At 47.3% G+C, this 15,134-nt stretch overlaps 1 long non-coding RNA gene across 1 annotated transcript in view, besides 6 other annotated features; it reads right to left on the bottom strand.

Annotated features, from left to right (window-relative positions):
* Positions 1-15,134, bottom strand: part of LOC105373611 (uncharacterized) — a 241,632-nt gene that overhangs the window by 147,348 nt on the left and 79,150 nt on the right. The window lies entirely within an intron of this gene.
* Positions 2,086-2,286: a silencer, noted in NCBI's record as "peak3859 fragment used in MPRA reporter construct". NCBI's record gives its function as "represses an SCP1 promoter by STARR-seq MPRAs in K562 erythroleukemia cells {active_cell/tissue: K562}" and the evidence as "EXISTENCE:reporter gene assay evidence [ECO:0000049][PMID:32103011]".
* Positions 4,218-4,512: an enhancer, noted in NCBI's record as "tiled region #8571; K562 Activating non-DNase unmatched - State 22:ReprW". NCBI's record gives its function as "activates a minimal TATA promoter and a strong SV40 promoter by Sharpr-MPRA in K562 cells {active_cell/tissue: K562}" and the evidence as "EXISTENCE:reporter gene assay evidence [ECO:0000049][PMID:27701403]".
* Positions 4,218-5,128: a biological region, named in NCBI's record as "Sharpr-MPRA regulatory region 8571".
* Positions 4,327-5,128: an enhancer, noted in NCBI's record as "NANOG-H3K27ac-H3K4me1 hESC enhancer chr2:129249333-129250134 (GRCh37/hg19 assembly coordinates)". NCBI's record gives its function as "activates a minimal SCP1, AML or CMV promoter by ChIP-STARR-seq in primed H9 embryonic stem cells {active_cell/tissue: H9 hESC(primed)}" and the evidence as "EXISTENCE:reporter gene assay evidence [ECO:0000049][PMID:30033119]".
* Positions 10,113-10,612: an enhancer, noted in NCBI's record as "H3K4me1 hESC enhancer chr2:129243849-129244348 (GRCh37/hg19 assembly coordinates)". NCBI's record gives its function as "activates a minimal SCP1, AML or CMV promoter by ChIP-STARR-seq in naive H9 embryonic stem cells {active_cell/tissue: H9 hESC(naive)}" and the evidence as "EXISTENCE:reporter gene assay evidence [ECO:0000049][PMID:30033119]".
* Positions 10,613-11,114: an enhancer, noted in NCBI's record as "H3K4me1 hESC enhancer chr2:129243347-129243848 (GRCh37/hg19 assembly coordinates)". NCBI's record gives its function as "activates a minimal SCP1, AML or CMV promoter by ChIP-STARR-seq in naive H9 embryonic stem cells {active_cell/tissue: H9 hESC(naive)}" and the evidence as "EXISTENCE:reporter gene assay evidence [ECO:0000049][PMID:30033119]".

Genomic DNA, 15,134 nt, shown 5'->3' with positions numbered 1-15,134 from the left:
CTTCCCCCACCGAAACATGACCCCTCAGGATGGGGAAGTGGCTGTTACAGCACCATGCAAGCTTCTCAATTTGTCTCTATGTTACAAATCTTATCTGCTGAGTCCTTCTCTTTCAAAAAGGCTGGCTCTCTCCATTAAAAACCTAGGCTTTCAAGACTATATCTCTGCTAGGTATTTTAGGAGCATATTTTGGAATCAAAGTCAAACTGTAATACTTGATATATTAGCTAGGGTTCACCAGAGAAAAAGAACCAATAGGATATATATATGAGGACATATATGTATAAGAGAGAGAGATTATAAGGAATGTGATTATGGAGCTCTGCCAGTGGCAAGCTGAAGATGCAGAAGAGCCAGTCTTGCAGTTCCAGTTCAAATGCCATCAGGCTCAAGACCCAGAAAGAACTGACACCTCAATCTGAGTCCAAAGGCAGGAAAGCAGCAATGTGCCAGCTCAAGGCAGTCAGAGAGGAGGAGCTCCCCTTTACTCAGCCTCTCTCTTCCATTCAGGTCTTCTACTGATTAGATGAGGCCCACCCCCATTTGGAAGGGAAATCTGCTTTACTCAGTGCACTGATGCCAACGCTAATCTCATCGGGAATCACCCTGGCAAGCCCACCCAGAATGATGTCTGATCAGATGTCCAGGCATCCTATGGCCCTGCCAAGCTGACACATAACGTTAACCATCACACTTGGTCCCAGGCCACCTCTGCCTCTATGCACTGGAGGCAGGGCACCTGGAAAGCAGCCACACTTCTGGGGGAATGGTGCAAAAGCTTGCATCATATCCTAAACATTATCCTGTGACACTGATTTTCACCTTCGGGTTCTTACTACAGAGTGAACATTCCTAATACAAAAATTCAGAATCCAAAATCTGAAAGTTTTTAAGCAGCAGCATGATGCCACAAGTGGTAAATTCTACATATAAGTACTTAACACAAACTTTGTTTTATGCACAAAATTATTTAAAATATCATATAAAATTACCTTCCGTCTATGTGTATAAAGTGTACATAAAACATAAATAGGCCGGGCGTGGTGGCTCATGCCTGTAATCCCAGCACTTTGGGAGGCCAAGGCAGGTGGATCACCTGAGGTTGGGAGTTCAAGACCAGCCTGACCAACGTGGAGAAACCCTGTCTCTATTAAAAATACAAAATGAGCTGGGCATGGTGGTGCATGCTTGTAATCCCAGCTACTCAGGAGGCTGAGGCAAGAGAATTGCTTGAACCTGGGAGGTGGAGGTTTCAGTGAGCCGAGATCGTGCCATTGCACTCCAGCCTGGGCAACAAGAGCGAAACTCCGTCTCAAAAAAATAAATAAATAAATTTTGTGCTTAGACTGGGTTCCATCCTCAAGATATCTCATTATGCACATGCAAATATTCCAAAATCTGAAAAAAATCTGAAATCTGAAACACTTCTAGTCCCAAGCATTTTGAACAATGGGTACTCACCCTGTAGAAGTCCTCCCTAAGCCATCAGCCCCTCCCTCTCCCTCGTGGCTTATCCTCATCCTCCAGGCCCCTTCCATCTGAACCCTCTTCCCCAGAAGAGGTGGCAGGCAGGGCTGCTGGGGGAGCTGCTGCCCAAAACTCTGCGTGAACGGAAGCCCAGAAGCCTGCATCCAGATGGAGACTGATGGTGGGAGGAGTGGGCGACACAGACACAAAAAGCTGGAGGGCGAGCAGGAATGGGAGGCCAGGGAGCAGAGCCCATGGAGCAGAGTGGGCACCCACCAGGCCTGGCTCACCCCAGAGCACAGTCATTCAAAGCAACCTTTGCCTCCTTCACCATCTGGTCAGCACCAATGGGCCCAGGGATGGGGACACCATTTCTCACCCGCTATCGGCAGGTGACCCAAACCTGGCCCCTCTGGCGCTGTCAGAGAAAACAAACAGTGCCTATTTATAGGGCTGGGCCGGGGTAATGGTTATCTTGGCCTGCTGATAGTCCTTTTTCCCCATGAAACACATAACGCACCATAAGCACTGCTCAGAGGACGATAAAAATAGCTTTGGATCAAAGAGGTAGTTTCCTTATTTTGTCTCCAAGGACAGATCAGAGAGCTGGACTGCATGTGGGCAAATCAGTTTTGGCTCTTGGCAAGAGTTTCAATGCTTCCCCTCCACATGCACAGAAAAGTCTGCCAATGTCGATATCTGAAGCTGAGATAATAGGCTGTGGGCTGTGCTTTGTCTTTTGTTGACGCACTCCCAGCCTTCAAGGTCTCTGCTATCGTTTTGTAGACAGACAGGCTAAGCCCAGACATCAACAAGCAAAAGCAGCGAAGTCCACTTGTGCCTGCTGAACGGATGCGGGTGTGGAATAATGGTAATGACCTCCATTACAGACATCTGCTGCCTGCACCTCTGCAGACCCATAGCATCATCCCCATTTTACATGTGAGGAAACTGCAGCTCGAAGAGGCCACCAGCCCTCAACCCTAAATCCAGCTGCCCCGGAAGCCTGAGGTCTTTCAGGACTCCGCAGATTTGGAATCAAACAGCCGGGGCTTGACTCCTATCTCACCGCTTAAAAGCCCAGGCTCTTAATCTCTCTGAGCCTGTTTCTCCATCTGTAAAATGGGAGTCATAACAACTTCCAAGCTATTTGTGACTCAAAGGAGATCGTGTAACAGAGCTACATCGTGTGCAGATTGGCTTGTAGACACTAGTTATTATGGCGGTGTTTTTCTAACTGAGCCATTGATGCTTTCAAGGCACTGCTGCTCCCTCGCATGCCTCTAGAGGCAGGTGATATTACACCCACTTCACAGACGAGGAACTGCGGTGTCAGAAGATTAAGGGCCTTGCTCACGCAGCCAGGACGAAGTGAAGCCGTCGTGGGAACCCTGGTGGCAGGCTCCAGGGTGGGCGCAGCGAAGCCTAGTACCCATGGCCACGGTTGTCATGTATTTTTCTATGCTGAAGACTGTCAGGGGCGATGGCGCATTGCAAGAGAATCTTCAAACCTGGCCAAAAGTCTGTTCTCTAGTACAATTCTCAGTCTAGGGGGAAAAGATCTGATAACGTCACGCCAAGGTGTTGCTGCTGATGGTGTTTCAGTCTGTAACGCTACTGGGTGTTTGCCTCCAAACCAAAGTGTGGTGGGGCCATGTTTCATTGGAGAGCTTAATCCCACCTGCTCAGCGCTAGTCCTACCATCCCGCGCCACAGCCCTCCAGCCAGCACCCGAGGCGAGCGGGCCTGGGAAGAAGGCGGACCCCAGCCTCCCAGGCTGCTGGGTCCGGGAGCTCCGCGGCGAGGATCGCTCACCTGGGCGCTCCCCGGGACAGTGAACGGCAACAGAGCCCAGGGAAACCTGAGCGCAGGTCCGCGTGCGTCCGGGCCTCGGGGGTGGTTTCACCCGCGGGCGGGGAGGGGGCGGGGCCTTCTGTCAGCCACGCCCCCAGAGTGGAGCCCCCGCCCCGCCCAACCCCCCACCGCGGGAAGCCCCTGGGCACTGGGACCCGCTCCTTCCTCTGCAGGGCGGCCCGGCCGCGGCCTGCTGGTGGCTGTGAAGGTTACATGGAGTGCGAGTGCGTATACACAGGTAGCGATGGCAGGGCAGACGGTCGCAGCTGCCTGTAGTCCCTCCACGTCCCTGCAAAGCCCCGTCCTCTGGACCCCCATCACCCCCGCTCCCACACGTTTGCAGGCTTTATTGCCCTGCCGCGTGCGGGCCAGACCCTCCGGGAGCTGCCAGCGCAAATTCCTTCGGCAGAGGACCCGCTCTGGGCAGGAGCAGGGTGGACGGTGTGGGCGCGCCCACGCCCCGGCGGGCAGTGCCAGGCATCGGTGCGCCCGCGGAGGGGGCGGCCTAGATAAGCAGACTCACCTCTCAGGATTTAATCCGAGAGACCTAGAAGAAAGTCCCCTGCTAGCTGGGGGCGAAGCAGGTCTTTCCCCAGGGAGTACTGAGGCCGGCTCTCTTGAGCCATTCTCTTGACAGAGTGTGGAGGCAGAGGTGAGTGAGGAGGAGGAGAGAGGAGGAGAAGGGAGCAGGCCGAGCAGCAAAGAGGAGCAGAAACCCCATACAGAGAGGGGAGAGAGAATGAGAATGAATATGGATTAGTCAAGGGCTGACATAACGAAACGCCACAGGCTGGGTGGCTTCAACAACAGAGATTTATTTCTCCTACTCCTGGGGCTGGAGGCCTGATCTCAGGTGCCAGCAGGGTCCAGTTCTGGGAGGCCCTCTCCCTGGCCTGCAGGTAGCCACCTTCTTACATGGTAGAGAATGAGAGCAAGCTCCCTGGTCTCTTCTTGTAGGGGCACTAATTCTATTCTGAAGGCCCCACCCTCATGACCTCATCTAAACCCAGTTACCTCCCAAAGGCCACACCTCCTAATGCAGTTATATTGGGGGCTGGGGCTTCAGCCTAAGCATCTGGGGGGAACAGGCATTCGGTCCAAACAAGTGGGCTCAGTACTGCACTGTTCCTCACCCAGGCCCAGCCTAGGGGCCCTGCTATTCTTTTGCTCCAGGCCCCAGGTTCTCAAAACCGCAGATTCCACAGGCTGAAAGCCCTCCTGAGGCATCTTGAGTGGGCCTCTTCTGGCACCTGAAACAGCCTTAGGAAAAGCAGCATCCTTCTTGCTTCCCTAGCTAGAAGATAAATTCGCCCTCCCACTGACAGCCCCATTTTCTGAGGGCCGAGTGCTCTGGGTCCCTGCAGGATGGTGGGATTACCGAGAGCAAAGAGAGCCAGCCTCACCTTGGGGAACACGCAGACCCAGAGCACCCACTGTCCACAGACAGGCAGAGGGTCCCAGCTAGACTGCCCCAGCCGCAGGGCTCCTGGCAGTAGAATGCTGCTAGCAGGGCCAGTCAGGCTTCCCAGAGCTTAACCTGAGGTTTAGCATCAAAATGCCTGCACTTACAAATGTAAATAACGCTCCAAATACCTTAGACCAACATCAGTGCTGGGTTTGGCTTGCAAATAATTCATGTTTGGTCTAAATGGGTTTATTCTGCCTCGTTTGAGTGATTAGTTGCCTTAGAAAGCATCAAGGAATAGAGGCTCTACTAAGCCAGCAAGAAGGGGATAATGCAGGAATTGAAATGCAGAGAGGACTTCTCAGGGCCAGGCTGTTAGCAATTGCTATTAGATTAAGGGATCATTTGGCGGAATTTAAAATGGAAGTAGGCACAACTCAGGAGAAAGAATGAGAGAGAATATTTCTCCCGCATCTCGCTGGAGGGTGGAGGAGACAGGCTGGTGCTCTCCAGTGTCTGGGCTGCAGCACAGAGTTCTGCTTTTCAGAGGGGAGGGCTGACCAAGGAGTGTCTGCTGTCCAATGCTTCTCAAATGCCACCAAGTCCCCTTGCCGCCCACACTGGCTCCCACAGCTTAGTTCTATTACGCAGTGGAAATGCAGGCCCATGCTGAGGAGGTAAACCAAAAGCAAAGTGTTAGGAAGAAGAGGTCACCAACTGCGGGCAGCTGGGGACAGGGTAGTGCTGCCAGCCCCACGGGCACCATTTGCATGGCCACTGCTGACAACACTGCACATGGGACAGTCCCTTGGAGGCTTCTGACCACAGGCCAGAGAGCGACTAATAAGTGGAGAGTGGGGACTGCCTACACCCAGGCCAAAATACCCCTTGCTAGAGTCCGGCTTCCAGACCACCAACTTCACTGCAGAACTTGATTCTCCTATCAAGCAGGGTCTCTTGGCCCAGCCAACAAGAACAATGATGAAGACATATTGACTGCTGCCTGCACAAACCCCTGGGCTAAGGGCATTACATGATCCGTCCTATTGAATCCTTACAACAGTCTGGAAGCTGGGGCTGGCATTATCCCATTCTCCAGATGAGAAATCCTAAGTGGAGGGAGAGTACGACCTGCCCAGAGTCGCACCCTGAAGACCTGCAGGTGGAGGATGTAGAGAAAGGAGGAATTGCGATTCCCTGATCTGGGGGTTGGACTGTGGGTGGAAGGTAGTGCCTTTCCCCTGAGGCTGGTGAGTGCCAGTGTCTGTTGGACAAGTCAGTGAACATGTCCTAGAGACAACTGGATGTAAGTCTGCAGCCCAGTGGAGAGGTTAAGGCAGAATTAGAAATGTTGGTGAAGGTGTCAGTGGTGTTGATGGTGTGCGGGATAGCCGTGATGGATCCACAGCTGCTCTCTATTCCCAAATGATGCTTTTCTATTCCAGCCAGGGCCAGGTGTGCAGGAAAGGGAGGTAGGGAAGTTTCCCTTCAAGCCCCTTCCCAGGGCCCTGCCCCTCTGTTCCAATGTGTCTGGGATTGTCAGGCAGTAGGCCGTGCCTAAGACTATGTGACAAGGACTGGATGCTTACTGAGGTCATATCCTGTGAGCCTCTCCTCCCATGAATAAATGCTTCACCCCAAGAACTCCCGCCTGCCTCTGCAGAACCCTCCTCTCTTGTTCCAGAGCTGCTCCCCCTTCCCTTCCTCCTTCTCCTTTGCCTGTGTCAAGCACGTCCGTGTGAAGAGACCACCAACAGGATTTGTGTGAGCAATAAAGCTGTTTATTCACTTGGGTGCAAGTGGGCTGAGTCCGAAAAGAGAGTCAGCAAAGGGAAATGGGGAAGGGAGTTGGGTAGGTAATGGAAAATTACAGTAAAATGTGGTTATTGTTAGCAGAGGAGGGGGTTACAACGTACATGGTGGAGAGATCATAAGATTCATTGTCCAGAAGAAGAATGTCACAAAGTCGATTGGCCAGCTAAGGTAGGGCAGCGACAAGTCACAATAGTAAAATGTTGTAATGTTGGTTAATCAGTTAAGCCAGGAACTGGCTGTTTTCCTTCTTTGTGGTTTTTTGACTGCTCCCCATTTCTTGGCTCCTGCAGGCCACCTGGATGTGTATGTATGTGCAGGTCACAGAGGTTATAATGGCTGAGCTTTGGCTCAGAGCCTGACAGCCTGGTCTCCTTTAGTTTGAGGAGAGGAAAATCAGGTCCTACAAGCTTGCACATCTTTGGAGGCCCGCCTTTCTGTCTCCATTTCTGTCTCTTTCCTCTGTCAGTATGAAACAGTGGAGGGAAACAACTTGTGGGGTCCTGCCAGGAGAAAGGGAGGAAGGGCCGGGTAAGGTCCCCTGGGGAGGAATAGAGACAAGGAAGGGAAAGGGCGGGGTCAGAACCAGCGCTCCCACATCCAGATGAGAGGAGAAGGGGGCCGAGAGGGGCAGCCTGGGGCCGAGGGTGGGGCTGGGACTGATAAGAACCTCAGGGTGAGGGCATGCCCAAAAACTGAGAACAGGGCAGAGCAGGGCTTTCAAAACTGCTGAGAAGTAAAGAGGGGCACAGATAAGTGGGATTTACAACTTGGAGGTCATGAGTGACTATGATAAGCTATGATGGGAGGAGGGGCAGTTCCAGTGGGATAAGGAATGAAAGGATGTCCAGAAGAGGCAACCTGTTGGGGAAGTCATGGAAAATGAGGCTGCAAAGAAGTGGAACTGCCTCCCAGGGGTGTGCCTGGGTCATTATCCTGGGACAAGGAACCAGCTAAGGTGGAATGTAGGTTTGCTGATGTTCAGCCATTCCACAGTTGGCTGAGTCCATCCTGATTATCCATCTCTCATCAAAGAATATTTGCAAATCACAAATTTTAATCAGGTCTGACTTTCTAGTTTGTTTTGTGTGTGTGTGGAAATACTTTTATTGTTTTTTCTGATTGCAAAAATAACATATGCTAGGTTTTTTTAGAAAATGAGTAAAATAGAGCATGTATTTCTCCACTTCCATTTTTTCTCAGGCTAACCACTGCTTCTAGATCTTTACAGACATTTTTCTTTACATCTTTACTTTTTTAACAAACATAGACAGAGATAAACATTGTTCTGTATGCTGCTTTGATATCTAACAATCATTGACGTCTTTCCATATCAGTGCAGACTGATCAATTTCATTGTTTTAATAGGGTCAAAGGAGTCTACTGTTTTCATGGGTATTATTTATCTTATCTTCTCCCAGCCATCTACATTTAGAGTACTTCCATTCGGTTGTTGTTGTTGTTGTTTCTCTGGGAATTGATGAAATAAACATCCTTATACATACTTAATGCATCTGTGCAGGTACAACACATTCTTAGAACCTGCATTATTGAGTCAATGGTAAGCACATTTGAAATGTTCATAAAAATTTCCATATTTTCCCTCAAAAACAAGTACAGCAACACCACTGGCATTGTATATGGGTTCCCTTTGAATCTTTACTGAACTGATAGATGAAAAATTCTTTCCTGTGGGGGATGTTGCAGTGGGGGAGGCTGTGGTGTGTGGGCTCAAGGTATGTATGGAATTTCTCAGTACCTTCGGCTCGATTTTGCTATAAGAACCTAAAACTGCTCCAAAAAATAAAGTCTGTTAAAAATGATTTGTCAGTGTTATTTAAATTTTTCATTCCTTCAATTAATTTTAAGGTAGGACAACTTTTGATACATTTCTTAGCCAGGTGTGCTAACTCTCCTGTAAATTTCCTTTCATGTCTTTTGCTTATTTTCCTATTAGATTTCTTATCTTATTGGGTTATCTGAACTTTTCATGTATTATGAAGAGTAAGAAGTTGTTCTTAAACAGAAGAAAAAGCACTGACTCTTAAAGCCCCCAGGCTGCTGGGAGAGGAATGAGTTGAAGGAGGAGGTGGGCAGTGGGAGCCAGTGAAGAAGCTGTTCCCTGTCGGCCCCTATCCCATGCCCCACATGGCGTGGACACAGGTCAGCACTGGCTCTCTTCCTTCTTCCAGCACCCACCCCTGCAGTTTTGACTCTGACCTCCCCTGTCTTCACCTTACATTATCTGCTTTTAATACTCATTCGTTTGATCTCCTGTTTCTGCTCTGAGGTTTTTAAAATGGATTTTGGGGTCATCTGTGTTGGATGACAGGAGGCAGGTAAGGAGTCCCTTGGAAAAGGTGGACAATTAGATTTAATTAAATTAAATCCAGTGCTACCAGTGCTAGACAGAACAGTGTGGGAAAGGGGAGAGGAGGAGAGAAGAGACCCATGGGGTTGGGGAGGGAAGAGTAATCAGGGAAGTCTTCCTGGAGGAGGTACTACTAAATAGAAATTTCAATGCTGAATAAATTCATGTGGCAGAGCTTCTAGTGGTTCCCCAGTATCTGTCTTCCCTTTCTCTCCACTGTCAGCTGGATTTCCAGCCATCTAGACTACAGAAATCATTTCCCAGACTCTATTGCAGCAGATTTGGCCATGTGACTAATCATGGCCAGTGGGGTGTTAAGCAGAAGTAATGATGCCCCATTTCCGCGTTGTCTTTAAAGGGCAGGGCTGTGCCTCGCCTTGTCCTTTTCTCCCTTCTCTCTGGCTGAATGCAGGCATTGTGAGGAGCCATACTGGAACCCCCAGGTCCTTGATGACAGACAGAAGCTGAGAGGAGCCACTCCACCAGCTGTTTTGTTTATGCTCACATTTATGGAGGGCTTGCTCTGCACTAGACACCTTGCTAAGCACCTCCCAGCTATCATCTCATTTAATCTTCTCAACAACCTGGAGGTGGGTACCATTCCTATCTCTGTATTGAGAATGAGGAAACTGAGTCACAGAGAGGTTAAGTAACTCATCCAAAGCCACACAGCTTGTGAGAGATGAATCTGGAATGTGCACCAGTAACCCTGGAATCAGGACCACTCCAGACCCTGAGCTCTTAGCCAATATATTTTGAAGCCTCTCTGTGCCTTCCTGCATCCCTCGCAGATGGACAAAGTTCCCGTCCTCCTGGGGCTGACAGACCAACAAGTGAGCAAGTAAAATAGGTAGTAAGTTACACAATGAGATGTACTACAGAGATTAAAGCAGGAAACAGGAATGGGCTGAACAGAATGATCAGAAGAGGACATCTGAGCAGAGGCTGAGGCAGCCGTGAGAGTGTCTGGGGACATGCTGGCCTGCTTTCCAACCCCAGCCCAGACACACATCGGCCCCTATTCTTGAGTTCTTGACAGCGTCTGAGCCTCAGCTTCCTCATCTGTATAGCCTGCCATGGTAGGTTGGGAAGGCGATTGGAGAGAACATAAGTAGGCCCCGTGGCAGAGTAGGCATGGTGGTGTTGGTGCAGTGCTCTGGGAGGGTCAGGGCACCGTCTCCATGGTGCCCACCAAGCTCCAGGCTCCGTGCTCAGTGCTCCGTGGATCCACGCAGACAGCTCCCCAGAGTCAGGCACAGCACCCCCACGCGGCAGACGTGAGAATCACTCCCACTTTACAGAGGGGGAGACTAAGGCTATGTCACCGGCATGACCCCCCCCCCACCCCGCCCCCGGCCACGCGGCTGACGTGCAAGCAGTGCCCCCGTATCCTTCAGCACAGGAGAAGCACTTTCCTCATTCAGCAGCAGCGGTGAGCCAAGCCTCTTTATGTGCCAGGCGCTGACCGAGGGACTGTAATTAGTGGGCACCGGACAGATTAGAACAAGGACCTGGCCGCACTGAGCTGAGCGCGGCACCCGTCGCACCGGCAATGATGGCCTGACGTCCTGAAGAGTGACAGGACAGAGACAAAGCTCTCCGGTGTAGAAGTCAGGGTCATCCTCCACTCTATGGCAGGCACGTTTGAACCTGAATGAAGTGAGGAGCAGTCCCCCATGCTATGGGGGAGGTCGGGCAGGCGGAGGAAAAAGCAAGCGCCAGCGCCGAGGCCTGCGCTATGGGATTTAGGTCTCCACTGCTGCTGGTCGGATGCCTGGGCTGCGCCGCACCACGGTCAGCGTCTCCTCTTTCCCTCTCACCTCCCAAAGCACATACATCAACACCCACTCCTCCACCTCACAGTCTGTTTCTGGGACTCTTGACTTAAGGCAGGAGACAGTCCTGAAATATCTCCATGGGAACAGAAGAGTCAACCCGCTTGGGGTAGGCTTCCAGCATTCACAGAGCCTCAGGGAGGACAGGCTGCCTCCTTGCCCTCTCACTTTCCCAGGAGGTGGTTCATATAAGTATCCATTCACTGGCCTCAGAGGGAGGCTCAGAGAGGGCAACTAACTTGCCCAAGGTCACTGAAGCTCAGCGGTGCACTGGAGCCACTCAGTCCTGGCTCGATGTTGTTAAACACAGCCATTGCCAAAAATTAAATTATATAAACCTACAATGAAGCACGTTATATGACAACAAGAGGCAATAAATACACAGAATTCACCTCCTCCAAATTGCTTTACTCCTGCCCCTGTGCTGTTGAGGTTACTGGCACCTGGTGTACCTAGGTGGTGGGGATGGTATTCAGTGGTGGCCGCTGCAGGTCTCCTCCCAACAAGCATCAGTGACATCACGGTGGTACCCTTAAATGGACCATGGTGGGGGTATTTCCACTACAGAAATCAGCAAATGCTACAAATTCAGCTTATAACATTACTGATTTCAGTGATAAAGGAATGTTAAAAATGAAGATTACATTGGCTGGGCGCGGTGGCTGATGCCTGTAATCCCAACACTTTGGGATGCCAAGGTGGGTGGATCACAAGGTCAGGAGTTTAAGACCAGCCTGGCCAACATGGTGAAACCCCGTCTCTACTAAAAGACTCCATCTCAAAAAAAAAAAAAATGCAGATTACATTACATTAAAAGTGTGTGTGTCTGGAAGTGTTACACTTTGAAGAGTGCAAAAAAAGAAAGTCTTCTAGTATGCAAAAATTATTATCCTATTGAGCCAAGCAGCCACTCACGTCATGGACAAACAAGTGGAGGTCTAATGTCCACCTGGGCCTAGATCTCTGCCTCTTGAGGAAGTCCATAAATTCCCCAGAGCACATTCAATCCAGCAGTGCCCTTGCTAGGACCTCAGCTTCTGTGGTTCTAGGCTGCCTTGGGGGCCACTCTTGTTCTTTTTGGCATTTGGTGACATTTCATTTAATGTCAGCTTATGTGCTATTCCACACAATTGCCAACATCTTCATGTGTCTCCCCAACTAAGGTTATTTACTGATGTTGACATTTGTTACCTTTTCTTTTTTTGTTTCTCTCTCCATTTTCTCTTTTCCTATCTTTAAAAATTTTACTGGCCGGGTGCAGTGGCTCATGCCTGTAATCCCAACATTTTGGGAGGCTGAGGCGGGCAGATCATCTGACGTCAGGAGTTCAAGACCAGCCTGACCAACATGGTGAAACCCCATCTCTACTAAAAATACAAAAAATTAGCTGGGCATGGTGGCACATTCCTGTAATCCCAGCTACTCAGGAAGCTGAGCCAGGAGAATCTCTTGAGCTCAGGAGGTGGAGGTTGCAGTGAGCCGAAATCGCGCCATTGCACTCCAGCCTGGGCAACAGATCACACCATTGCACTCCAGCCTGGGTGACAGAGCGAAACTCCATCAAAAAAAAAAGTTACTGATATTTGTTTGTTTTTAACAGCATTATTAAGAGATAATTCATATATTTTACAATTCACTTATTTGAATGTTCAGTTCAATGTTTTTTGACATATCCACAGACACATGCACCCATCACCACAATCAACTTTAGAGTATTTTCATCACCTTGTAAGGAAGTGCTGTACCGTTTAGTTCTCACCGCTTAATGCCCCTATCCTACCCTCCCAGCCCTGAGCAACCGCTAACCTACTTTCTGTCTCTATAGGTTTCCCTATTCTGGACTTCTATATTACATAATTGATATGAATGACTGGCTTCTTAGCATAATGTTTTCAAGGCTCACCCATGTATCCATATATAATTTCTTATTATGGCCAAATAATATTCCTTTGTATGACTATACCATATTTTGTTTACCTGTTCACCAGTTGATGGACATTTGGGTTACTCCTACTCTTCATGTCTTATGAATAATGCTGCTATGAACATGTACAAGTTTTTGTGTGGACAAATGTTTTCCTTCCTGTTGGGTGTATGCCTAGGAGTGGAATTGCTGGATCGCATCCTACCATCCTAGTGAGAGTGAGGTGGCTTGTCACTGTGGTTTTGATTTGCATTTTTTGATGACAATTTTTCTGATAATGATGAAATTGAGTATTTTTTCATGTACTTATTAGCCATTTATACATCTTACTTGGAGACATGACTGTTTATACCCTTTGCCTATTTTAAAATTAGAACGTCATTGTCTTATTGAATTGTAAGAGCTCTTTCTACATATATGAATGTCCAACTTATCTATTTTTTCTTTGGTTGTTTATGCTTTTAATATCATATCTGAGAATCCTTTGCCAAGTCCAAGATAATGAAGATTTACCCATGTTTTTTCCTGACAGTTTTATGGTTATAACAGCTTTAATTTATGTTACATTAATGTTTGTATATGGTATGAGGTAAGGATCCAACATTATTCTTTTACATGTGGCAGCACCATTTGCTGAAAAGAATATTTTTCCCCCATTGAATGGTATTGAAATCCTTGTTGAAGATCAGTTGACCATAGATGTATGGATTTGTTTCTGGCCTCTCAATTATATTTTATTGATCTACATGTCTATCCTTGTGCCATTGCCTCCTCTGTCTTCATTATCATTGTTTGTAGTAAGTTTTGAAATTGGGAAATGTGAATCCTTGTATTTTGTTCTTCTCTTTCAAAATTGTGTTAGGTATTTGTAACTCCTTGTAATTCCATATGGATTTTAGAATTAAGTTGTCAATTTCAACAAAGAAAATAACTGGTATTCAGATAGGGATTATATTAAATACGTAGATCAATTGGGGAAGTATTGCCCTCTTAACATGATTAAATCTGTGATTTATAAACACAGTACGATTTTCTGTTTATTTCGATCTTTAATTTTGTTCAACAATGTTTTTAGTTTTCAGAGTATAAGTTTTGCACTTCTTTTGTTAAACTTATTTGTACATATCTTATGTACAAATTTTGATGCTATTTAAATGTAATTTATTTGATGCTACTTAAATGTAATTTATTTGATGCTATTTAAATGTAATTGATTTCTTAATTTCATTTTTGGATTGTTTACTGCAAGTGTATAAAAATACAATTAATTTTTATATGGGTCTTGTGTTCTGCAACCTCAATGAACTCATTTATTAGCTTTAATAGTTTCTTAGTGGATATCCTAATTTTTAAAAGATTTTTCTATACAAGATATGTCATCTGTGAATTAAGATAATGTAATTTCTTCTTTTCTAATTGCCTGGGATGGAACCTCCACACAATGTTAAATGGGAGTGGTAAGAACTGGCATCCTTTTCTTATTCCCGATCTTAGGGAGAAAGCGTCCAGTCTTCTACCATTAAGTATGATGTTAGCTGTGGATTTTTCATAGATGCTCTTTATCAAATTGAAGAAGCTCCCTTCTACTCCTAGTTTGTTGAGTGTTTTTATCATAAAAATATGTTGGATTTTGGGCCAGGCACAGTGGCTCATGCCTGTAATCCCAGCACTTTGGGAGGCCAAGGCAGGCAGATCAACTGATGTCAGGAGTTCCAGACCACCCTGACCAACATGGAGAAACCCCGTCTCTACTAAAAATACAAAATTAGCCGGGTATGGTGGCACATGCCTGTAATCCCAGCTACTCAGGAGGCTGAGGCAGGAGAATCACTTGAACCCGGGAGGCAGAGGTTGCAGTGAGCCGAGATCACGCCATTGCACTCTAGCCTGGGCAACAAGGGTGAAACTCCGTCTCAAAAAAAAAAAAAAAAGTGTTGAATTTTGTCAAATACTTTTTTCTGTTTCTATTGAGATGATTGTGTGGTTTTTATTTTTTATTCTATTGAGATGGTGCATTACAATAATTGATTTTTACATGTTGAACCAACATTGCATTCTGGGATAAATTCCACTTGGTCACAGTGCATAATTTAAAAATATGTTATTGGATTCAGTTTGCTAGCATTTTGTTGACAATATTTGTATCCATATTTATGAAAGATATTATACCGATCTGTAGTTTTCTTGTGATAACTTTGACTGGTTTTGGTACCAGGGTAATGTTGGCCTCAAAGTGAATTTGTAGATGTTACTTTCTCTTCTATTTTTTGAATGAGTTTGTGAGAGATTGGTATGAATTCTCCTTTCAGTGTTTGGTAGAATTCAGCTGTGACACGATCTGGACCTTGGCTTTTCTTCGTAGGTAGTTTTTTTGATTACTAATTCAATCTCTTCATTTGTTACAGGTCTATTCAGTTTGTCTATTTCTTCTTGAGTCAGTTTTAGTAGTTTGTGTCTCTCTAGAAA

This window comes from Homo sapiens, chromosome 2 (assembly GCF_000001405.40).
Source record: "Homo sapiens chromosome 2, GRCh38.p14 Primary Assembly".
Taxonomy (NCBI): Eukaryota; Metazoa; Chordata; class Mammalia; order Primates; family Hominidae; genus Homo; species Homo sapiens.
The sequence above is the reverse complement of the archived record's forward strand: the minus strand, read 5'-3'. Positions and strand labels throughout refer to the sequence as shown.